General features: G+C 36.8%; 1 pseudogene; it reads right to left on the bottom strand.

The window, feature by feature from the left end:
- Positions 1-16,360: 16,360 nt before the first annotated feature.
- UBE2HP1 (ubiquitin conjugating enzyme E2 H pseudogene 1) lies at positions 16,361-17,517 on the bottom strand (annotated as a pseudogene).

The following is a 27,336-nucleotide window of genomic DNA, read 5'->3' as shown; positions in this document are numbered from 1 at the left end:
TGGTTTTCCAAGGCAAGGCTCTAGTTCTTTCACACCCAAAGCCTTAGGGCCTCAGTACTCTGAGGGAACCTAACTAGTCCAAGTCACTAATCCACATGAACAAGTAGAACTTGATCTTTGCTGCCCACACCCAAGACATACAGTTTTTAATTGCGTATTTGGCAGTAATTCTTGGTCAGACGTGATCTCAGAACAATGAGTTGTCACTTGAGCAGACATATTGGTAAATTCTTCAAAGTTGTATAGTTTCATTTCTGAAAATAGATTAGTGGCTTGGATTTAGGACTAAAGGAGAATCAAAATCCTAGAGTTTAAAGGAATTTTAGATGTCTTCTAATTCAGCTAAAACTCAATCAAGATTCCTTTGACAAAAGATTTTCTGAGTAAGCAAAAATAGAATTGCAAATTATAGGTTTATCAAGAACACCAAATATATTCCATAATCATTTAAGTATTCTTTAAAATACTTTATGGGAAGAAAAATGAAAATGAAAAAATAAGGGGATTAACCTAAAAATTAAATTATTTCTTTCAATTCGTATTTGGCCTATGAAAATAATAGTTATTAATTCATAGTTCAAACAATACTAGAGTATGGATTATAAATAGACATGAGAAATGTAACACTGCAAGTAATTGTGCCATTGCTTGGCCTCCCCCCTTGTTCCTCAAGAAAACCATATGTCATAATAATATGTCATATACTTACACAAACATGCATAATTTGCTCACTATTTAAACTGTAGCAGAGCCTTTTTGGTCTCTTAGAAAATCTTAAAAAGTATATATCTTTTTTTAAAGTATTTTTTAAAAAACTATTATCTTTGTGTCCTCAATTCCCCTTTGTCTTCACTTGAATTGAAAACAATCTTAAAAGATTTTTTAAGAATCAAATTGGACATAGCAACTTTTGTCTCTATTATAATTCTAGGCCATAACGTTAAAATAGTCAGGCAAATAAATATTAGTATCATTTGTAAAACAATAATTTTATTAAATATCTGCTCTAAATACATAAAAAGTAAAAGCAGTGACCTAGGATATAGGAAACCCTTGTTCTAGACTTTGCTACAAAATACCTGTTTAAATTTAAATTTTTGTTTTCTCATCTGTAACCTTAGAAGAACAGAAGAAATTAAAATTTCCTGTGAGGAGTTTTTTGAATACAGACTCCATTATCAAACAAATTAGGGAAATTGGGCATACCATGATTCCCATTGGATATTTCCAGCTTGTATGAGCATACTAACAATGCCAGGAAATCTTGAACTTAAAAAATACATTTAACATTTTAAGAGCAACATCTCTACAAATGGATTGATTGCAAAACCTGCCTTGTTTGCTGCCATCCTTTTAGCAGCACTTAGAATGCTCTGAAGAATACTCTAGGAAAATGCTGATGATAATCTTCAGCCTCCAAAGTATTTGATTCTATCACCAAGACAATGTTCTGCGGGAATGAAGAAATATAGTACATAACTAGTAATGGCCTCGAAGAACATACATATCAGTTGTTCATGGAGGACATCTATGCATGAAAACTTACCTCTTAATAAAGGTCTTCTGGACATGTTCTATTGAGGTTCGGAAAGTGAATGCAGACCAAAGGTACAGTATTTAGAGAAAGCTTTGTATATATGACCTGGGAGGCCAAAGTAGATGCCCCTTTATCAATTAAACCAGACCTTAAAGTTGAAACAAGTTCCCTACAGGTTGAGGGTTCAGGGCTCAGCTAGCATGGTATTGTCCTAAATTCCTACAGCTTTAAGGAAAACCACACCTTTGCTAAACTCCTTAACAACAAGAGGAATCAGGCAAATTATCAGAACCTTCTTAACTCTGATTTACATCCCAGACCACCACAACTTTAATTGAACAGAGGACACACCTTACATTCTTTCCTGATAAGCGACTGCAGGCCTCAAGCCAGTTTCAGCCAGTTTAATAGAGATGCACAAACTGTCTTTGTGTCCTATAGTTCACCTTTTGATGTAAAGAGCAAAGTCCACCCCATTTTAATGCTAAAATCCCGCCCCAAAGTGAACATGGGATATATGTTCCATACATTTTTACCCATTGCTCATGCACCTAACTCCTCTGAGATATGGATAGCTTTTCCCCAAACCTGCAGAAGCATAAGAGACTTGGAGTTTAAAGGGAGGGACTATTAAAAAGAGAAAAGAGAGGAGGTGCATTAAGATGTTTTTCTTCATGTTTCATCCAGGTACATGTTACCCATTGGAATCAAGATATAACCTGACCACAGGGCCAGAGGACACTTACCCAGGGCCAGATTTTTGTGGGGCAGAGCCTGTATTCTGAGGCACCTATATATGTCTGACTCTATTGCATGATACAGGCCCTGTGAGGCATAAAATTCAACCTGCTTTTTCCCTTTTCAAAGAGAGAGCACCTTTGGTCCACAGCGGACACTGACTCTGGTTTGCAAACTGATATTGTCAATAATGCTCTCCTTTCTACTATGTAGCTATCCTGGTGGTCTTTCGAATGACAGGTAGAATATTGGACTGAGTTGGTTTACTTCTGAGATCTGCACCCTGAGCTTTGAGTAATAGGGAACAAAACTGATGCAGGGAGGAAGAAACCAGGTTACTTAGACACCTGAACTTTTCTGTTGATGACAAGAAGAGAAAGGTGACCAGTGGAGGGGAATAGGAATCAAATGCATCTTCTTCCAAGCAGTTACGAGTACAGAGAGATTTTCTTTTCCTTCTAAAGGTGCATCAGGATATAGGCTCTGCCCCAGTAGAGATCAGGCCTTTGGTAAGCATCCCCTGGCTTTGTGGCCAGGTTATACCTTTTTTTTTTTTTTTTAGACAGAGTCTCGCTCTGTCACCCAGGCTGGAGTGCAGTGGCATCATCTCGGCTCACTGCAACCTCCACCTTCCAGATTCAAGTGATTCTTCTGTCTCAGCCTCCTGAGTAGCTGGGACTACAGGCATGCACCACCATGCCTGGCTAATTTTTGTATTTTTAGTGGAGACGGGGTTTCACCATATTGGCCAGGCCAGTCTTGAACTCCTAACCTAGTGATCCACCCGCCTCAGCCTCCCAAAGTGCTGGGATTACAGGTGTGAGCCACCACGCCTGGTCACCAGGTTATGTCTTAATTCCAGTGGACAACATGTTATACTAGAATGAAACATGAAAAACAACAACCTAATGTACCTCCTGTCTTTTCCCTTTTCAATAATCCTTTCCTTTAAATTCCAAGTCTCTTATGCTGTCCTTGGGGACATAGGAACCTGAAGACTAATTCATTCTAATGTATGAAGTGATTTAATTCATATTTGACTATCTGGGAGGTATTTGCATTTTAAAAGGAGAAGAAGGAGCAATGTTTAAACTGAAGGCTGAATCCCTAACGATGGCATTTCAGACAGTAGCACTCACCTATGTATAATGACATTGGTGAGCAGGTGACGGAAGCCATTTGTGGAGGTAGAGAGAAAGTAGTCAGAAGACACAGAGCAAAAACTGATTTTCAAAGAAAGTGAGAAGGGGGAAAAGTACAGCAAAGTCACTAGCTACTTCAGTAGGTGGTCTTGGTATTGTATTAAACTGCTATTCCAAAGCCAAGTGTTCTATTTCTCAAGAAGTAAGCAATTAGGCACCGATTTTTCACCTAGATGCATTAAACCTACCTAATTTATATACTTACATGTGGGAAGTGTAGTAAATGGTTTCTTTCAGATATGTCTATAATAACTTCACAGAGCATTTCTTTAACAACCAAAAAGAAAACAACATTGATGAAAACAACTAAAAAACCTTATTATGCATTTTACTTATTTGTCATCTAACAAAAGGATAAACTATAATGGTTAAAATTTCAAATATGTGCCATTGACTGTTTTCAGACTCAGATTCCTGAGCAAATTTTGTAATACAACTTTTATTATTGTTGCTCAGCCCCCTTCTGCCAGCAGTATCTTGCTGAAGGAAGAGTTATAAGCAGAGAAATAAGAGTTCTCTGAGTCAAGGAAACTACAAGTGAGAAATCCTCAGTGATGAGGAGAGGAAGTTCTCCAAAGAGTCCACGATAACATCCGATAGAAAAACATAGCTTTAAAAACTCACTAAGTACAAAAAATACTCATTTATATTTAAATTTATTCTGATACAAATAAATTTCAGGTAAAACTATTCCAGTCAAATAAGACTTTTTCTACCCTTTATTTTTCCTCTTCTCTCACACTAGAATAGCCAAAGGTAGCCTAATGCAGACAAGAAGATAGTAGAGAAGACTCCTCTATTCCCCAGTGGAGATTTTCCCACCTGTACAGAAGCTCATGGAAGGGAGGAAACTGCTTTCTGCTTGCACAGTGAGAAGGCTCACTCTTCAAATTCACCAGTGACACATGCATTGACTTATGCCTGTGAAATGGATAAGAGCACTCCCATTCTCTCATTCTCTCTCCTTCTCCCTTAACCCCATTCTTGCTTTACTTCTTTTTTTCCACCCCACAGGGGATTTCTATCATTTCTTTTTTAAAAATTGCCAGGGTTGATAGCAAATGTATTGTATAAATCAACTAAGTCAACTGATGCCACCAAAAGCAAATGGCAAGAAGACAGCATCAGTAGACTTGAACACGCAAACCTCATTTTTAGGTTACTGAGGGTTTTTTTTTTACTATGACCAAATACTTAATGATGACAGTACATGCCTCAGTAGGCTGAAGAAAAGGTAATTAAGAGTATTGATACTCTATTAGGAATTAGTGACCATTCATGTAATTAGAAAAAAAAAAAAAGACAACTAAGAGTTTGAGAATGGATTTGTAGTCAAAGAAACTTTGGATACTGGAAATACCTTGGAGATTAAGCCTCTATTAGATCCTCTTTTTATTATTCAGAGATTATATCACATTTTCCTCTTCACCTACTTAAGTTTCCTGAAGCAAGGAGTGGAGGTTCTCTTTGAAAGCTATAAGTTTAACTTGCTTGTTCAGTTTCTCCTTTATATATATATATATATATATATATATATATATATATATATATATATATACACACACCTATATATATATACACACACACAGAGAGAGAGAGAGAGAGAGAGAGAGAGCAAATAAATTCAAGAATCTTAGTCTCTGTTTCTCCACACCGTCTCCACATACTCACTGAACTTTCCAAAGATTACAAATCTATTTCATTTTGCACACTTATTTCTGGATTGTCCTTGGTATCCAGAATTATCTAAGGGAAGTTGTCATCTCTTGCAGATCTTCTCTTAACTAAGTAAAAAGTAGGTAACATTTACAAGAACTTCTAAGAGTATTAGAATTCATAACAAACTTTATAAAAGGTTTTGACTTACTTAAAAGAAATGGGTCAGGTGTTCAGGCACCTGTTGTCAGTTCCACTAATGCTACCTTCTAGAGTGGCATTGTAAAAGTTCTGGTGTCTTCAGAACTTCAAACAAACACTATGATAGGCAGATGCCTTAGGAAGACCCTAGTGTTAACTTTTGCTGTGATAACAGCACAACGTCTAGGTGCCTCCACCCTCCTACATGGCTTACTTTGATATTGCTTTTTTCACACCGATGAATCAACAGCAATACTAAGGTGATTTCAGAGTGGTTACTCACACATGAGATCATCCACTGGTGCCCTGCCACATGTTATTAAACTGCCACTGTTCACAGAATGGTCCAGAAAACACTCCTAGCTAGTGTGCTAACACTTGCAGCTAGGAGGCAGCTCACAATGACCAAGTCCAGAGAGATCGCTGAGTCATCCTGGGTGCAATATTTAACATCTCTATGTTGCACTAGGACAGATGTGATACCTCTTTCTAGCCCCCAACCTTGTTAATAACTTACATTAAAACTCAGGACTAAAATGTAGAGTAGGAACCATTCCTACTTACCAAGCCTGGCTGGTGGATAGTAAATTGATAAACCACTTTGGAAATCTCTTTGGTATTATCTATTAAAGTTGAATATTTACACCAAGAGTCATGTACAAAAATGTTCATGGTAGGGTTTTTTGTTATAACCCCAAAATGGAAATATACTCAAGCAACATCGTCATTGCTTAACAACAGGGATATAGTCTGAGAAGTTCGTCGTTAGGTGATTTCATCATTGTGCAAACATCACTGAGAGTACTTATACAAATCTAGATGATATAGCCTACTACATACCGAGGCTGCATGGCATAGTATATTGCTTCTAGACTACAAACCTATACAACACATTGCTGTTGTAAATACTGAACACAACTGAAACACAATGGTAAGTATTTGTAATAGCTAACCATATCTAAACATGGAAAAGGTACAATAAAAATATGGAGTTATGAGCTTATGGGACCACTGTCAAATATGTGGCCCATGATTGACCAAAACTGTTATGTGGTACATGGTTGTAACTCAAGTGTTCATCAACAGTAAAATGGGGCTTTTAGTGTGACATATTCATTCAATGGAATAATGAAAGCAATGATAATGAAACAAATATGACCATTTGCAACCACTCAACGATAAACATGTTGAGTGAAGGAATCTACACACAGAAAAATTAAAACCTGAAGATCCTATATGTTAAAAAATCAAAAATAGATAAAACTAATCTGTGGTAGTGGGAGCCAAGTTAATGGTTTCTTTTGGGAAGGAGAGAAGGAGGAATGATTGGGAAGGGGATGAGGGGGCTTTGGAGTGCTGGCAAAGTTTTCTATCTGGAAGATGGCAATATGGGTAGATTCACATTGTGATATTTCACCAAGCTGTATATAACAGATTTGTGCATTCTTCTCTGCCTAGTGTTATGCTTTCATTAGAAATGTTATTTTTTTAAAAGCAAATAGGATGATGAGTGAAGAACTGAAATATCTTAAGTGTCTCAGGAAAAAGTAGCAAATGATTTGATAAAATTCTTCCTACGTTATTAATCCTGGCTTATAAGAGTCCTCTTAAATTATTTTATTAGGTAAAGGAAATATAACTTAGCAGTTTTTGTTGATTTTTACCTTTCAGGTGAGTACAGCTAGAGTTAGCTGAGCTCAGCAATTAAGGAAGTGAATGTTGAGGGGGCCACGTAATTCCTTTTGACCTCTCACTTTGCAAGGTTACACTGACAACTGGGAGGTGATATGTAACTGGGAAAGCAACCTGAATGCTCCTTTGGGAGGCTGCATGGTAGGGTGGAAAAAATGTGAAATTTGGAGCCGGAAGGAACTGAGCTGGAATTTTAGCTCTGCCACACACCTAGTTGTATAATCTTGAGCAAGTCACTTTCTGTTTCTTCACCTTAAAGGGAAATCATAACGACCATTTTGATGGGACAATAATACATATATAAGTATGCATGCATGTATATATATCAGCACCATATATAATTCAGTGAATGGTAACTACTATTATGAATAGAATTACCTAACTTATTTGTTAACAATGTAAATAAACTGAACAAACATAAAATGTCAATTTTTAAAAATCTGTACTTAATTTTATTATATTTTCTTATTCAATATGTTAATAAACATTTGCAACATACTCATTTCAAACTTGCAAACATACCATGATGTTATCCTAATTTATACTCATGTAAAAATGTGGCACCATATTTTTATGAAATTCCCAGGGGTGACAGATTCATTTTTTAAACTTTTAAGTTCAAGGATGCATGTGCAGGTTTGTTATATAGGTAAAAATGTATCATGGGGGTTTGTTGTGCAGATTATTTCATCGCCTAGGTATTAAGCCTAGTACCCATTAATTATTTTTCCTGATCCTCTCCCTCCTCCCAACCTCTACCCTCCGATAGTCCCCTGTGTGTGTTGTTCCTCTCCAAGTGCCCATGTATTCTCACCATTTAGCTCCCACTTTTAAGTGAGAACATGCAGTATTTGGTTCTCTGCTCCTCTGTTAGTTTGCTAAGGATAATGACCTCCAGCTCCATCATGTTCTTGCAAAGGACATGATCTAGCTCTTTTTTATGGCTGCATAGTATTCCATGGTGTGTATGTACCACATTTTCTTTATCCAGTCTATAACTGATGGGCATTTAGGTTGATTCCATGTCTTTGCTATTGTGAATTGTGCTACAAATAAACATATACATGCATGTGTCTTTATAATAGAATGATTTATATTTCTTGGAGTATATACCCAGTAATAGGCTTGCTGAGTCAAATGGTATTTCTGTCTTTAACTCTTTGAGGAATCACCACACTGTCTTCCACAATGGTTAAACTAGTTTACACTCCCACCAACAATGTGTAAGTGTTCCTTTTTCTGTACAACCTCTCCAGCATCTGTTATTTTTTTACTTTTTAATAATAGCCATTCTAACTGGTGTGAGATGGTATCTCATTGTGGTTTTGATTTGCATTTCTCTAATAATCAGTGATGTTGTCCTTTTTTCCATATGACTTTGGCTGCATGAATGTCTTCTTTTGAGAAGTGTCTGTTCATGTCCTTTGCCCACTTTTTAATGGGGTTGTTTCTTCCTTGTAAATTTGTTTAAGTTCCTTATAGATGCAGGATATTAGACCTTTGTCAGATGCATAGTTTGCAAAAATTTTCTCCCATTCTATAGGTTGTCTGTTTACTCTGTTTATAGTTTCCTTTGCTACGCAGAAGCTCTTTAGTTTGTCAATTCTTGCCTTTGTCACAATTGCTTTTGGCATCTTCATCATGAAATCTTTGCCTATGCCAATGTCCTGAATGATATTGCCTAGGCTGTCTTCAGGGATTTTATAGTTTTGGGTTTTACGTTTAAGTCTTTAATCCATCTCGAGTTAATTTTTGTATATTGTGTAAGGAAGGGATCCAGTTTCAATCTTCAGAAAATGCCGGTTTTCTTTAGTCCCCAAGAACTTTATTACATGTTCAAATGTTCTAAGATCACAGCCTTATAGCCCCAGCAAATAACTGGTCTACCTCAAAATGTATGAAGGTGGCAATTTCTGTGGCCCCAGATACTTTTTACAGCACCTGAGCTAACCAGTATGCCATTACACCCTCAAGGCTCTCCTGGAACCACAGTATAACTAATGTCCCCCCTAAGAGGACTTCAGACTCCTTTAACGTCTTTCATTTTTATCCTAGAATGCCTCTAGGGAACGATAAAGTGGAGAAAAGAAGCCAGGGCATGAGCTGTAGAAGGGACAAAAAAAAGAAAGAAAGCATGATTGTTAACATAAACAGGGACAAGGGAAGAAAATATATAATTCCTGCAGAGTCACATAATCCATTTTAAGGAACATTGAGAACAGGAATTTAGTGCATGATGTGTTAGAGATAGAGCTTGGGTATCAACTGTATGACCATCAGTATACAGCTTAAGTATTAATATCCTAAAGCCTTAGTTTCTTATCTATAAAATAGATATAATTAGAGCTATTACATTGTCTTTGAAAAAAAGAATTTAATTTCTTAATTTAAAAAATATATTTTAGTAATCTCTCTGATTTTTGTCTTTTTACATCTTCAAAAAAATACATGCATCTGAAACCACTTATAGGGGTTGGAGGATTGAGGAGTTAATATAGACCACTCTCCCTCTCATGGGCCCAACATACACTCAGTTATGTCTGTTATCTTATTAGCTTTGAATTCCATTCAGATATTTACAGATGGAAGAGACTTCAAGAGCATACTCTGGTCCAGTAGCCAGAAGGGCAAATAATTATTGTCCCCATGTTCCTTGTCTCTGAAACTTTCTCCAAAAATTCTTCTGAGCTCCAAGTATTGGTACTGATGTAATTTAATTAAGCATGTGTGAAATTCCAGTGTTCCAGAACCTGAAATTGACGTAATAAAGGTGAAATGCAGAATATGCACCTCTGATACCATTTTTTAATGTTACACTCCATCACTCCTGCTTAATATCAAATCACAGGAGGTATTTTTCATCTGTTAAATTGCATTTTACACACCCTTCATCATTGGCCTCGAAGCAATTAAATTTGAGAAAAAAATTACTGAAGCAAGGAGTAAGAACCAAAATAATCAAGTTCACTAAAGTTGTTTTCACTCAATGATGTCTCTAGCTGATAAATCACCATTCAGAGTTTCATTCTGCTCTAGCCATTTCACTCTCAAAAATTCTCCAATTAAAAACTAAAGGTTCTAGAGAGATATTTTTATTTTATTTTTAGAGTATTTGTGAAAATCCAGAAAAAAGAAAGCTGCTTATTTCTTATTTCTTATTTCTTTTTTTTTTTTTTTGAGAGAGAGAGAGAGTCTTGCTCTTGTCACCCAGGCTGGAGTGCAATGGCGTGATCTCAGCTAAATGCAACCTCTGCCCCCTGGGTTCAAGCAATTCTCCTGCCTCAGCCTCCCAAGTAGCTGGGATTACAGACACGCGCCACCACGCCAGGCTAATTTTTGTATTTTTAGTAGAGACAGGGTTTCACCGTTTTGGCCAGGCTGGTCTCAAACTCCTGACCTCGTGATTTGCCCACCTCAGCCTCCCAAAGTGCTGGGATTACAGGCGTGAGCCACTGTGCTCGGCCTCAGAAAGCTGCTTATTTCTAATACTCTGTTATAGAAATTATTATTCTTTTGGTAGAACATATGTTATTAACAAATACTAAAAATAAAATCAATAATTTGTCAATTTTCATTATCTTTCATTCACTATCTTTCATCCATGGTGTTTTGCTAACTGCATAGTATTCTTGGCAGTTTTATGCCTTAAGTATTCACAATAGACTTAGTTGATAGTTGACACAGGGAACCTAAGAATCTGAGTTCTGGTCAGTAAAAAATTTCCCTATGATATTTGTGAATATTAGGTCAAATCATATGAAATTGACATTTTTGTAGGTTAAAAATGGTCAAATCTGGGAAATTTCATATAATGCAACCAAATATCTAAAGAGTTCTAAATACAGGTATCTTGGTATGCATGGAAATACCATTGGGTTCTTTCTCCATTAACTTGATGTGAATCCATATTTTGGAATTATCTTCTGGTCAAGGTCTCATCTGTTTGCCATTCTCTATTTTTTTTCCCTATCCGCTTACTCTTTTATCCTTTAAGTAGATAGCTTCTATTCCATGGACCCAAAAGAAATTCTTTTCCAAAATTACTGATGTTCATTCAAGAAATTGGACACTTTGATCACTCTCTCCTTTAAAATTTTTCCTTCTTGGTTTCCATGTTACTATGTTACTTGTTTCTTGATTTATCTCTCTAAATTTTTCTCGTCTTCTATTTGCCACCTAAATGAGGGCATTCTATTTGCCTGCATCTTCTATCATTTTTCTTGCCCAATAGACTTACACTGTCACCCCAATCTACCTCACAGTTAGTAAATGAGCTCCCTTTCTGCTCTCTGGCCACCAGAACATTCATACACAACTGTGCTCTTACTTGTTACTGTAACCATCTTCTCTCCTTTCTGTTTACTTAATAAAAAGGCATCCCTCTTCCTCAACTCTTAACCCCTCCTTGTGGTACCACATGCCTTCCACCTATCCCAGGGACCATGCTCCACTAGAGCATCACTTCTCCTACACCCTCACCCCTTCCTATAGTTTCTGTCCGCTCAGTATATAAACTTGCTTCTCCCATGACATAAAGAAAAAATGTCTCGTGATTCTATGTCATCTTCTAGTTATGGTCCTATCTTTTTTCATTCATAACCAAGTTTAAATATTTTAATTCTTTTTTATCTTCACCTCTTAAAACTTTTATAACCTTTTGTCATAAGTTGGGCACACCCAGAAACACGCTCTGATAAGAATTTGATGGGAGCAGTTTACTTGGGGGATAATCTTTGCTAGGAGAAAGGAAAGTGAGTCAAGGTAGGAAAAAAGTCAATATAGAATGTGTTTATCTTAGATTACTATTGTGGGAGACTGGGATTTGAATCTCATTTGGCATCTTTGGGAAACTGTCAAACAAATCTGAAGAGTGATTTCTCCTTGGGAGAGGAATACTGGGGTACTCACATCTTAAATCACTGTGGGCTGCTCCTGCAGCCATTAACTCTGGCACATCTGGCCAGCTCCAAGACAAGGCTGGGCTCTTGCTGATGACAAAGCCCTCATAGAAAGTAGCAGGTGCTTTCTGTAGGATGCCATTGGCAAGGTTGGAAATAGTGAATGCCAAAGAAATATGGGAGGGGCACCAACTGTGTCTGCTACACCCATTGTAATTAGCTTCCTGCTTTCAGCACTTCGCCTTTCTGGTGGAGAGCCAGTGATCTCATAATTGCCACACTTAACGAAATCTCTTTTGTCCTCACCCTCCTTGACCTTTCTCTATGCAACATTTGGCTTCCAGTCCTTATCTCCCTTGATATTCCCTCTTCCTTGGCTTCTCTTTCGTGTTGCTTCTACCTCTGTAACAGTTTTGCTTCCTTTTCAGCCACCTCATTTCCAAGTGCTGATGCTTTGTAGGACTCTGCTTTGGCTTTCTCATTCTATACAGGATTCCTGAGACATCCCTTCCAATTTTATGACTCCTCCAACCACCAGCATGATGATGACTTCTGAATCTATATTTCTAGCCTGGACTCCTCTCCTGTAGTCACAGCCTTATATCAGATCGCATTCCATGTTTCCATTTCCTATGGTGCCAGAACATCTCAACCAGAATGTCACAGATGTACTCAAACCCACATTCACAAAATAGGAGTATTATCTGTCTTTAACACATGTTCTACCTCCTATATTCCTTCTAACAAAATGGATTATCAGCTAACCAGTAATGCAATAGAAAATCTGGAAGTCATTTCAGCCTTTGTAATTTTCCTCATTCTTCACATTTAACTGGTGACCAAGCCTTGTCGATTGTATCTGCTTAACACTCTCCATTTTGTTCACACCTTCTTTCTTGTCACACAATCTCAGTTTCATCACTTGGCCTCTCATCTCATCTTATCACTCGGTAACCTTCACCCTACTGTTAGAATTGTGTTTCAAAAACATGAATCTGACCAAATGCTTACTGGAAAAGTTCAAATTATTTTCCATAACATGAAGAGTCTCCGTGAGCTGGCCCTTGTCTGCATTTCCAGCCTTAGACACCATTTCCTCTCTCTACCTACTCTACACCCCAACCACTGTAATTTCCAAATTGTTCCATAAAGTTCCAAATCTCTATAGATTTAACTAAAACTTATGTATAACATGCAGAGTGTCATGTAGTCTAAGAAATTTACAAATATTTTATTATTTAATCCTCATAACAACCCTATGTATGTATTATTATCCTCATTTTATAGATGAGGAAACTGAGGCCCAGAGAGGTTAAGTGATTCAACCAACATTACACATCTAGTAACTGGCAGAGCCAGGATTCAAATCCAGGCACTCTGGCTCCAGAGTCGTTACTCTTGACCACCCTACCACAACGAACTGGATTGGTTAATGTCATTTCTCTCTGTCTGGAAAATCCTCATCCTCCCCCCACTTCCAGTGAGTCTTTCTCTAACGAACCTTTCTTGATCCTTCATTTGTTCGGTAGTCTTGACCTCTCTCTCTCCTTTGAACCCCTCTATAGTACAAATACACTTGAGGCTTATTTGCATACATGTCTCCCTTTAGTATACTCCTTGATGATCACTCCCTTATTTGTTCCTATAGTTTTCTCTGACCCTAAATGTTGGACCTAAGCTTAAGCCTTTGATCTCCTTTTCTCTCTACACTGACTCTCTTGATGAGATCACCAAGAGATCATCAGTTTCAGGCTGCAAACATCATCTGTACAGGACAACTCTCGCATTTGGATTTCCCACTCAGAATTCTCTCCCGAACTCCAGACTCATATAAAACAGGCTTCTCTAACTTCACTGGATTGTCTAATGAGTATTGCACAGTTAACATGTTTAAAACTACTCCCAATCCTTACTTCTCACAAACTCCTTCTCAGCCTTCTTCATCTTCAGCCAGGTATAACACCATTCTTGGAATTACTCAGGGTAAATAATGTTGGAATCATCTTTTACTCTTTTTTCTCATGCTCCACAATCAATCTACAAATTGTGTTGGCCCTACTTTCAACATATACCCAGAATACAACCAATGCTCTCCACCTCACTGCTATCAACCTGGTCCCAACCACCATCATTTCTTGTCTGGATTAGCTGGATTAGCCTCTCAACTGCTTCTGCTCTTTCCCTTTTAATTATCATTTCCAACAGAAGCCTGGCTGATACTACTAGAACTTAGGTTAGGTCATATCACTCCTCCACGAAAATCATCTCAGCAGCCTAAAATGCCTACAGGAGCTGGTCTCTGCTACCACCTTGACATTACATCCTTCTACTCTACCCCTGCTGCAGAAACACCTACCTTCTAACCATTCCTCCCATGCTCCAGGCATGTTCCTACCCTTGGGCCTTTGCATTTAGTGTTCATACTGCTGCTTGCTGCTCTGCCTGGAACATTTGTTTCCCTGATACCTTTGCTTCTTTATCTGCTCTGGTCTTTGTTCAAATGCCACTTTCTTGGTGAGGCCTTCCCTAACTACTTCATTTAAAATTGAAAGTACTTAACCCTAACCTTTTCTATCCCACCTTCTGGCTTTCCTTTTCTACATATCACCATCTAATAGCATATATTTTACTTATTAATTTTATTTTCTGTCTACCCCCACTAGGATCTAAGTTTCATCTAAGTTCCCTGCCCCATTCCCAGCACCAAGAAATGCCTACTGTATAAGTACTCAACAAATGTTGGCACTTATTATACTCAGCCTGTAACCCAGTGCCTAGAACCCTCAAGTCTTTGATAAATGATTATTGAACAGATCAGTAAAATTATAATTGAATATATCACCTTTGACATCATCTATCTAAACTATCCTAATATCTCTAAAGTCTAAAATGAAACTCGTCTTTTCCAAACTGAATTAGCTTTCCTTCCAAACTCAATTAGCTTTCTGATTCTTTTATTAATGTTCAAGATACCATCTCTCTTTTATCAGCCATTTTTGTTTTGCTGACCTCTATATCCAAACAATTATCAAACCCTAAGATTCTACCTATGTGATGTTTCTCTAGTTTGTCTTTTTCTTTCATTCACACTGATAATGCCTTCATTAGACTTCAACTACCTCTTTTAATCTGTCAATTCAACCAGTCATTCGGTTCTCCATCCATCTCTTCCTACATCTGCAAACATTACTGAGTATTCACTGCCCTGGGTACTTTGCCTAGTACTGTGCAGAATGTGCCAGGAAATTGTTTCTTTGATCAGAAGAAATGTCAATTGGTAGGCCAAATTGATACAGTATATTCTGTTTCAATCCTTTAACTGTATTATTATTATTTTTTTTTTTTACATAAAGTAAGTAAATTCTTTGTCTTTTTATTTAGGAAAATAATCATGCTAAAAGCAAGTTGTACTTTATATAGATTTTCAAACAAAAGATTGATTGTGCTTTTTCAATAAAAAAGATAGGGCATCTTCCAACCTCACTGACTTAAACCTTGTGGAATACAGCATTTCCAAACTAAAAACACACGTCAAAAAGAAAAATTAAATAATCCCAGTGGGATGCTCAAAAATCGTCTTCAGAAGGTCTTAGGATTGGCAAATTCTGCTATTATCTTATTGGCTGCAGCAAAAAAAGAATACAGAGCTGCTGTCTAAAATTTCTTCAAACTCCCATCTGAGTTCAGCAGGCAACACTCAGATTTGAAAGAAACTCTGCAGCAACCTGGACATACGGTTAGCTGAGACAACATTTGATTAGCAGGCATTTTAAACTGATTTCCTCTTAACATACACAGGAGAGAACACATTTTCTTCCTGCAGGGCATGTTCTACTACATCATATTTCTGAATCCCTTCTTCCTATTCGGTCACTCTCTGAAAAAAAGCTGGTTTGTTTTTCCCATGTAGAATCACTCTGGGTACAAGAACCTTTATTTGCTCCAATTATTATTTTTTTAAATTTAGAACCTGTGTTGGGTCTAAAATACCCATTTCCCACTCCCACAAGCAGATGATGATCAGGCTGCTGCCAAGAGCAGCAGAAAAAGGGAAAACCAAACCAAAACATGAAGGCAAGTACCCAGGGCTTTGCAGTCACCACACGGGTCTTCTCAAGTCTAAAGGTCCATGAGCGGCTTGTCCAAGGAGGCGGCTGCCTCTTGGTAGGTGAAGATGAAATCTGCAACCTTTCTAAGCACAATACACACACACACACACACCAAAAAAAAACCCCCCCCACACACACACCAAAAAAATACCCCCCCCCCACCCCCGCGAAAACACAACTCTCATATTTAAAGCTCTTAAGTTCAGGGTAGCAGTCTCAAACTGCCAAACACTAGGATGAGGATGTGACTCTGCACGTGTTTTGGATGAGAGGAAGCATCGTCCCAGTCACTTTTCTCCTCTTGTGCTGTCCTTTGAAAAACAGGTCTGGATTACAAGCTCTACCCCAAGAAAAAGAACCGGTTCAGAAAGCACTTCTCCAAGTTTCTCCAACAGAACACTGTGGCTGCAGGGCCTGGTAGTGTGAAGGGCAGGAACCGACATGTAAAAACGTACTGAAAATCAGAGTCAAAAAACGGTTTTAAGTTTTAATACTCTAATTAGCTCCCTGTTTTATACTGTAACTCCACAGAAGACATAGGGCCACCTAGGATTCACAGGAAGTAGTAGCTCTGATTCTTATGTGGCTGGCTCTAATGTCCCCACAGCAGGCCCCTTCCTCCCCAAGTTTTTCCTTTCCATTTCAGAAAAGCACTATTTTATCTTCACATCCAAGAGCTGGTTGGTTTGGTTTGTTTCTTTGGAACCATCAATAAAAGAAGCGATTTTTTTCCCGTTCTTCTTACGTCTACCTATCAGAGCGGCTATTTCCTTTGACAGTTCAGTAGCACACAGGCTGACTTGGCCACATGGACTCATGAATGCATGCATTCGGACCGCATATTGCTACCAAATGGAATGTGGGAATATGCTATGCACCTCAGGTTGAGAAACGACCAGGAAATCAAGATCTAAAGGGTGATATATAATATATATATATCAATGCTTTTATTCATAAAAACCTTGTTTAGTCATAAAAAAATTGCTGTGTTTAAATATGAATATTATAGTCTGCTTCTCATGGTTAGGAAACAATAGTCTTTCTGAAAAGCAGGTGCTTTTTCTACTACAACTCCATATCCTGGGCCTCATCTTTGGAAAAGTCAGATATAGAGCTCTCCGATGAGCTGTCCCTGGTACCCTCTTCCTGCTCTTTCAGCGCCTGCTCCGTGGTGTATTTCTGGATGTACTCTTTAATTTTCTGCTTGTATTCTTCTGGTCTTTGGAGGTACATGGCTGCATCTTCACCATTGAGAGGATCTATGGGGTTAGGATAGGCCAACAACTGGGGCAGGAAGGACTCAAATATATTGGTAAGATCATAGAGAGCTGTCCAAGTTTGATTAATTACATCTAGACACACAGTTCCTGACGCGTCGTCAGTGTTGGGATGGAAAATTTTATGCATGAATCCCTCTGACCGGCTCCTAGCAGCCTCCACTACAAGCAGACGACTCCTGCTCAGTCAGCCTCCCTACCCCAGCCCGACTGTATTATTAACATTAGTCTGTGTGACTGGAAAAGCAAAGCCAAGTCTTGAATCCGTGCCAGTCAAAACCCATTTAAATCTTCCTGGTGCTAACGGCAGCCGACTAATATAGTCTACTTGCCATCTGTGTGCTGGTTCTTCACCTCTGGGAATATGTTCCATTGCATTTTGTAAACATTGTCTCTCCTGCTGACAAATTGGACAATTATGTTTAACGGTTTGTATTCCTTCTGGTGCTACCAGTAAGGGACATCATTCAGCTCAGCATTACATGGCTTGCTTCCTCCTATCATATCACGTACCGAAATAGCCACTTCTAGGAAATGCACTGAAGCATCTACCTGTTGGTCTCAGTTTCTCTCAGATCCTGGTAAGGGATTGTTCTGTCTTATTAGATTTATTCTCATGATTATGTTAACACCCCTTCTCCCAAAAACCTTACATTTAATGAGAAAAGAATCTGTGTTTTCATAATCTCTGGTAGCTTCAACCTCATTTGAACATGTAAGGAAGTCTGTGAATGTTGACAGTAATCAAATCTAATTGCTTACAGGTGGCAGTCATTTTGAACCTATAGCTGTTTCGGCATTGGAAGGGACTGTATCGAACACGGACAGTAGAAACTATAAATCCAAACAATAACATTTTACTCAAGGATGAGTCAAGAAGCCATTCCGTCATTAATTCAGCCAATGTGAAAACGCCCCTATCCGGGAGGATTACTATTATAACACTAGCTCCCTCTGTTGCTCATTTCAGAAATGACATGGCACTTGGAGCTATTTTGTGCAGCCATGAAAATAGAGGTCCCCAAAAGTAACATACTAAACTATACTAAATCAGTGGAGACACATTTGAAATTTTATGTCTTTAAAACCACCACACTGAAGATACAAGGGAAAAATAAATAACATGGCATTTAGTGGCAATTTCATACAGTGTCTCCTTCCCTTTTGATTCTTATGATCAACCAACATATATTGTATTTAGGAGAATCAGTGATAATGGAATGTAACGTGAACATTAATTTCATGCTCTCTGAAGACAGTGGTTGTCAAGTTTCAGTTAGCATAAGGATAATGTGGATGAGTGGCTCTCAAGCTTTGTCATGCATCAGAATTACCTGGAGGTCTCAATAAGGAATGGATTGCTGGATCCCATCCACAGAGTTTCTGAACCAGTAGGTCTGTGTTGGAGCTGAGAAGGTACATTCCTCGTACTCTAGAACCTCTGTTCTAGAGCATTACGACTCAAATCTGTTCTGCAAGACAGCAGCATGAGCTTCACCTGGGAATCTATAAAGACACAGAATCTTAGGCCTATTTCAGATTTACTGAATCAAAGTCATCTGTTTAAAATCATTCCCAGGTGATTTGTATCCACAATACAGCTTGAGAGGCATTTGCTTAGAGAAGGGGTGGCAAACTTTTTGGTAAAAGGCCAGACAATAAATAGTTTAAGTTTTACAGGCTGTACCATCTCTGTCACAAATACTCAACTCTGCCATTGTAGCTCAAAAGCAGCCATAGACTGTGAGTGTGTTCCAATAAAACTTTATTTACAAAAACAGGGAGTGGGCCATTTTTCCTCCTCTGGGCATAGTATACTGGCCTCTGGCTTAGACTGTGTGTGTTTATGTGTATTGTTATTTTGTTTCATTTTAAACTTGCTTCACCTCCCTTAGTCTTTGCTTCAGCAGTTCTGCGGTTGAACCTATCCTTTGTATTTTTAACAGGCATCCTGGAAAAGTTTGATTCAGGTGGTCAGCAAACCACACTTCGAGAAACAATTTAAGCCATTGTTTTGCTTGGCAATATCTAATTATTTTATTAGATATTTATATTTTTGTTACATGACTCATAGAAAGAAAAAATTAAGATCTTTGATCTATTCTTCTTTTCAATAACACCTTCCATGTTCTTCCAAATGTTTTCCACCCTCGCTTTGGGCTGATACTAATGTTTGTGTTTTTCCTCAACAGAAATTGACTGCCACAACAAAACTTGGCTCCCGTATAAGGAAAAAGGAAAAACTGCATACACATTTAAGCCGAAAACTCATTACAGAAGAAAATTAGAAGCGATGAGAACTGCAAATCCTTCTTTATTGCTTCTCTAATTTTTTCAAAACAAAACTTAACTACTGTAACGAAACTATTCAGGGAATAGTTTTATGATTAAAGAAAAAAAAGTGTTGCGCATTTACTTTATCTTAGTCCTATATCAAGCAGACACAGTAAGAGAGAGAAAACAAAGGCATCTGTGAAATGAACTTTTTTCTCATTCTCTAAATGGCTAGTTGTTCCTTTTGTAAAAGTAAGATTTGAATTTACCTTTTCATCCCAATCTCCCAGTCCCTTTCACCAACTCTCCTTTCCTGCAAAGGCACTAGTTCTAAAATAAGTCAATGAATTTTTCTGCTGCCATTCTTTTAATTTATGTTTAAAAAGTTCTGGGAAACAATATATGGAAAGAAATTTAATTGCTAGTGAACAGAGATGAAAATTATAAATGTTACACTTTAAAATATATTGTTTAAAAATGTATTTTTCTAAAAGTGTGTAAAAAAGATGCCTAAATTTTTCTTAGCCATATTTCCCACCTTCTTTAAAGAGTAGTTTTAAATTGTGAGGTTCTCGGGGTATTTTTATTATTTTTAAAAACAATTCATTCCTAATAATTAAAACAATACTGCATATTATTAAACTTCAGAAAAGACAGATAAACAACAAAGGAAATCATGCATAACACCATTATATATAAAACTTTACTAAGTTAAAAAATAATTTGAGGTGAAATTCTTATTGAATTTACCATTTTTTAAGCGAACACATTAATTGGCATTTAGTATATTCACAATGTTGTGTAACCACCACCTCTATTTAGTTCCAAAACATTTCCATAACTACAAATAAAGCCTCTTACTCTTTGAGCAGTTTATCCCCATTTCTCCTTCCCACAGCCCAACAGCCACCAATCTGTGTTCTGTCTCTATAGGTTTATCTAATCTGGCTATTTCATAAAAATGGAATCATATATGTGATTTTACATGTCTTATTTCTTTCACTTAGCATGTTTTTTAAGGTTCATCCACATTATAGTATACATCAGTATGTATGAATTATCCTTTTTGTGACTGAATAATATTCCATTATACGGATATACCACAATTTGTTGATCCATTCTGCTGTTGGACATTTGGCAGTTTCTACCTTTTGGCTATTGTGAATGGTGCTGCTAGGACATTGTGTACATGCACTTATTTGAGTACATGTTTTCAATTCTTTCTGTGTACAGTTGACCCTTGAACAACACAAGGGTTGGAAGCACTGACCTCCTGTACAACATATAACTTTATTGACACCCCAAAAGTTAACTACTAATGGCCTACTGTTAACTGGAAGCCTTACCAATAGCATACACAGTCAAAATAACACATATTTTGTATGTTATATGTATCGTATACTATTCTTACAATAAAGCATGCTAAAAAAGAATAAAATCTTATTAAGAAAATCACAAGGAAGAGAAAATATATTTACTATTCATTAAGTGAAAGTAGATCATCATAAAGGATTTCATACTTGTTTTTACACCCAGTAAGCTGACGAGGAGGAAGAAGACGAGGTGTTGGTCTTTCTATCCCAGAGGTGGCAGAGGTGGAAGAGGTGTGAGGCGAGGCATGAAAGGAAGTTACACTCGGTATAACTTTACAGAAATACCTCATAATTTCTGTCTGACTTTTTTGCTTTTTCATTTTAATAAAAGTGTTTCTATATGGTACCAATCCCCTCTCACTGTTTCCTTTAGTTTCAGTGACCATATCATAGAAGTGTCCATGCTATAAGAGAAGTCAAAAGCAATCTTAAATAACTGGAAACCTTCTACTGGATTGTCTAATGTCCATTTGTTTTCTGGCACTGCTTCTTCTATGTCTTCTTCCTTATCATCTGGCACTGGCTCAGAAGCACTCATCTCCATCAAGTCATCTTCTGTTCATTCCTCTGGTGTGGTATCTATTAGCTTTTGAATGTCTCCAAGATCCATATCCTGAAACCTTTCACCCTCTACCTTTTTTTGTCATATCCACAATCCCTTTCATGATTTCCTTCATTGGCTCTGTTATAAATCCTATGAAGTCATGCACAATATTGGTACACAGTTTTCTCCAGCAGGAATTTATTGTTTTGGGCTTGATGGCTTTCATGGCTTTTTCTACAACACAGTGGCATATGAATGGCATAATTCTTTCAGACTTTCATGATATTTTTTCTACTGGGGTTATTTTCCATAGCGTTGACAATGCTTTCCTTAGAGTACCATGCATAATGAATTGTAAAAATCCTTATGACCTCTGGATTTAGAGGCCGAATTAGAGATGTTGTGTTTGGGGGCAACTAGACCACTTCAACTCCTTTGACATTGAACTCACGGGATTCTGGGTGGCCAGGGACGTTGTACAATATCAAAAGATCTTCAAAAGGCAGTCTCTTGCTCGCAAGATACTTCCTGACTTCAGAGACAAAGCACTGGTGGAACTAAAGCAGAAAAAGAGTTCTCATTGTTGAGGCTTTCTTGTTGTACAATCAAAAGACTGTTAGCTTGTGTTTATCCTTTTCCTTCAAGGCTCAGGGGTTAGCAGCTTTATAGATAAAGGCAGTCCTGATCATAAACCTGACTGCATTTGCACAAAACAGTAGAGTTAGCCTATCCCTTCCCGCCTTAAATGTGGGTGCTCACTTCTCTTCCTTACTAATAAATATCCTAGGTAGAATTTTTTTCCAGAATAGGGCATTTTCATCGGCATCAAAAACCTGTTTAGGCAGATATTCTTCTCCTCAATGATTTTTTTAATGCATCTGAGAACTTATCTGCTGCCTCTTAGTTAGCAGAAGCTGCTTCTCCTGTTGCTTGACATTTTTTAAGCCAAATATCTTTCTAAAATTATCAAGACATACTTTGCTGGCATTAAATTCTCCAGCTTTAGATAATTCACCTTTCTTTTGCTTTAAGTTTTCATACAATGATTTCGCTTTTTCTGAAATCATATTAGAGTCTATAGGTAGACCTTTCTTGTAACAATCCTGCACCTACAGAAAAGCTGCATTTTCAACACAAGATAAGATACTTTGAAACAAAATGCAAAGTTTTCTTGCCTGCTGTCATGGCTGCACTGAGAGCTTCACAAATCTCCTTTTCTTTCTTTTTTTTTTTAAAATGGTCCTGATTCTGGATTCATTTATTATGGTGGACAATCACAGCTACAGACCTGAATCTAGGGTACATATCAAGTTATTCAACTGTTTGTTGTAATGCCATGACTTTGCTTCTTGCAAGCACTTCCAGCACCACTAGTGGCACTTTGTTGGGTCTTACGGTGTTATTCAAGGTTTATGGTGTTGCACTAAACCTGAAAAAATATGTGAGAACTATGAGAAATCACTTTTTACTATGATACACAATTTACTAGAGAGACCAACTGCTCACACAGAAAGGATTAGCATCACACATTGTTGTAAACGGATACTCATAGCACTTGAGCTCACTGCAACAGCAACAGGAGCTGGCTACAAAATTATTACAATAGTGCAGTATATACTACAGTTAATTTTATGTAGTTATGATTTCATACTGCATCTTTACATTTGTTTTGCATCTTTACATTTCTTTTGACTTCAAATGGCACCATGTATGGTATGTGTTTGTGTGCGTACATTTTGATAAATGTTAACTTTCTATAATAGATTAGTGTACATTTTAAGAAAGTAAATGATAGGCTAGTATCTACATATATTTTATGCATTCATGATATACCTAAACTTTTTCTTATTTTTAAAAACTTTCTAGGCTACATGGTTTATCTGCAAGTATTTTCAAATTGTTGCAGATTTCCAAAGAAATTTTCAATATATTTATTGAAAAAATCTACATATAAGTGGACCTGTGCAGTTTAATCCCATATTATTTAAGGGTCAACTGTATATACCTAGCAGTGAAATTATGGAGTCATACGGTAATTCTATACTTAACTTTTTGAGAAACTGCCACTGTTTTCCACATGCCTGGGTCATTTTCCATTTCCACCAGCAAAGTACAAGGCTTCCAATTTCTCTGCATCCTTGCCAGCTTTTGTTATTTTTCACTTTTGTATTATAGCCATCCCTGTGGGTGTAAAGAGGTACTTAATTGTGATTTTGATTTGCATTTCCTTCATAACTACTGATGTTGAACATCATTTCATGTGTTTGTAAGCCACTTGTATCTTCTTTAGAGAAATGTCTGTACTAGTCCTTTGTCCATTTTATAATTGGGTTATTTGTTTTTGATTGTTGAATTATAGTTTCTTTATATATTCCGGATGCTAGATCTTTATCAGATATATGATTTGCAAATATTTTCTCACACTCTGTAGGTTGTCTTTTTGCTTTCTTGATTATGTTTTTTGATGCATAAAAGTTTTGAATGTTGATGAAATCCAATTTAATAATTTTTTTCTTTTGTTATTCATTCTTTGGGGAGGTCATATATAAGAATTCATTGCCTAATCACGGTCATGAAAATTTACCCCTATTATTTTCTAGTAGTTTTGTAATTTTAGTTTTTATATTTAGGTTGTTGATTTATTTTGAGGTAGTTTTTGTATATGGTATGAGATAAGGGTCCAAATTCATTCTTTTGTGTGTGTCTATCTAGTTATCCGAGCATCGTTTTTGAAGAAACTATTGTTTCCCCCACTGAATGGTCTTGGCATCTTTGTCAAAAAAATTGCCATGGATGGATGGGTTTATTTCTGGACTCTCAATTCTACTCCATTTGTCTATACAGTAGTCTGCACTTAGTCACAGAGGATATGTTCCAAGACCCCCAGTGGGTGCTTGAAACTGCAGATAGTAGCATACCCTATACATATTGTGTTTTTTCATACATATATATATATGTATATATAATATATACAATGTTTTTTCCATGAACATATATACCCAAAGTTTAATTTATAATTAGACACTGTAAGAGATTAACAACAATTAATAATAAAATAGAACAATTATACAATACTCAGAATGGTGCACAATTTAAAACTTATAAATTGTTCATTTCTGGAATTTTCCATTTAACATTTTCAGACCATGATTGACATTGACTGTGGGTAACTGGAACTGCAGACAGCAAAACTGCAGATAAGGGGAGACTGCTGTATGTCTGTCTATATATCTAACCTTATGTAAGTACCACACTGCTTTGATTGCTGTAGCTTTATAGTAAATTTTTAATTTGAGAAGTATGACTCCTCCAAATTTTTTCAAGATTTTTTGCTATTTGAGACCCCTTGCAATTACATATAAATTCAAGGATCTGCTTTTTCATTTCTGCAAAAAATGCCATTGGAATTATGATAATAATTGCATTGAATCTATGGATTGCTTTAAGTATTAATAGTATTAAGCCTTCAAATTTAGAAACATAGAATATCTCTCCATTTGTTTAGGTCTTCTTTAATTTTTTCCAACAATATTTTGACATTTTCAGGAGAGTATCTGTTTAAATTTCTACAGATAAAATATATCGGGTCAAAGGTAGATAAAATTCCAAATATATCACCAAATTTTCCCTTAGAAAGGTTTGCCAAGTTGTGCTTCCATTCAATCTTTATTAGTGTAAGGAGTAGAAAATGGTATTTCATTACTATGATTTTCACTTCTTTGATTCTTGGTGATGTTGATACTTTTTCATGAGCTTATTGGTCATTTATAATCCTAAATCAGGAGCATTTACTTGTAAACAAATCTCAGTAATGATTGAATTTCAAAATTGAATTCATAGAACTTATAAACCTGGTTGTCATAAACCAATGTGAATGCAAATGAGGACATTATTACTGTTATTGTTTCATTAGTGGTATTAAAGCTATCTCACATAATATTCTTACTTATATACAATAAAGCATATTAATTTCAAAGTCCTTCATTTTAATTTTGTAGCAAATTAGTAAACCAGAATATTTAGGAAGATGGAATAGTTTGTTTTGTCTTTTACTCTACGTTTTTCCTGGAACCATTATTCCATATATAAACAGTACTACTTCAGCAACTAAACATGAATAAATGTCTTTGGTACTGGTGTACCTTATGCTCCTACTTAAACTGGCACTGCAATTGAATTTTAGAGCTGGAAAGAACCTCAGAGACCACTTAGTGTGCTCTCTAATTTTATGGATAAGGAATCTGAGGCCCAGAGAGGTGATGTAGTTTAACAGAGGTCACGGTTACTCAGTCATTCAGGGGCAGGATGCAAGGCACCACTGTCCTTCCAGTAGACTAAAGTTGTGTCTTGTATAGTCAGAAAAACAGTGTAAGAGCAATGTTGCAAAATTGTGGAGTGCTTTTACACTGCTCTTTTGTTAATGCAACCAGCAGTATGTTTTGCATGTCTGACTTAGTAAATCATTGAATCATTAACAAATAAAAATTAAAAACCTACGTGCTCCCTCTGCAGGTTTCAGAGGCTAAAAATGGGTGCCACAATCCAATCAACCATTAGAACAAGCCGTGAGGGGGGGGGATGCAGGCAGAAACTGACCCTTTCAGCTTTGCTAAATGTGGTCTTTTTGCCCCACATAGCAAAAAGACCTAGGAGAAAGTGGTGCAAATATTTTAAGTACTTCAGGGCAAACATTTCCTCCTTCCAAATCCTATTCTCATTGCAGGAATTAGGAGCCTGAGCCCTAGATTGCAAGTTTCTGAGCCTAGATTCTGATTCAGTCATTTGCTAGCTACATACACTTTCAAGCCTTACTTTTTCATCTGTCAAATGGACATAATAATAGTCATTATTTCCACAATAAATAAAAAGATGAAATACACATAAGGTACTTAATATAGAGATTTAGCATATGACAATGGAGACAAATGGCTGTAAATGCTCTTTAAAGCATTAGTAAATTGCAGAAGGTGTGCACAGTATGCAGCTCATTCACTTCATCTTGTTGCTAAGGAAAAAACTGCCTCCACAGTACCTGAAATTGTTGACTACTTCAAATTTTCAACATGTTTTTGTTTGTGTATACTCTTTTTTAGATGGAGCATTTTAAGGCATATGTGATTTGGATTTTTTTAACAATGTGTTTCCAGATATGGGATAATATGCTCATTATAAAGCTGTTTAAGACTGAGAGCATGGGACCAATAATTCTTTGAGGATCTAAAGTATATTTTTGAAGACTTAGAAGAAAAATCTCAACAGAATAAATGTGTTCAAAAAGTTGATAAAGCTTATAAGTGCCATGTTAACTGCAACTTGAAAAGATGTTTCAATAAGACAGTAAGGAATTACAGACTCCTAAAGGAAGTGAATATAAAGAATACTTTCTTTTATTATCTTAATATTTATTTACTAATAAATATAGAAAAATTTCAATAAAAAATTAATGAAATATGAAACAAAGTTAATAAAGATATTTGACATCTAGAAGCTAATTACAATATATAAAAAATTTCAGATCATACCAAGAGTCATAATTAATTTAAACAAAGAGGTAAATTTTGAAAAGAAATAGTGAGGCTGGGCACGGTGGCTCATGCCTGTAATCCTAGCACTTTGGGAGGCCGAGGCAGACGGATCACTTGAGGTCGGGAGTTTGAAACCAGACTGGCCAACATAGTGAAACCCCATCTCTACTAAAAATATTTTTTAAAAAATTAGCTGGGCATGGTGGTGGGCACCTGTAATCCCAGCTACTTGGGAGGCTGAGGCAGGAGCACTGCTTAAACACGGGAGGCATAGGTTGCAGTGAGCCGAGACTGCACCACTGCACTCCAG

The sequence above is a fragment of the Homo sapiens genome, chromosome 8 (assembly GCF_000001405.40).
Source record: "Homo sapiens chromosome 8, GRCh38.p14 Primary Assembly".
NCBI classification, from domain to species: domain Eukaryota; kingdom Metazoa; phylum Chordata; class Mammalia; order Primates; family Hominidae; genus Homo; species Homo sapiens.
This window is presented reverse-complemented; position numbering and strand designations above follow the sequence as displayed.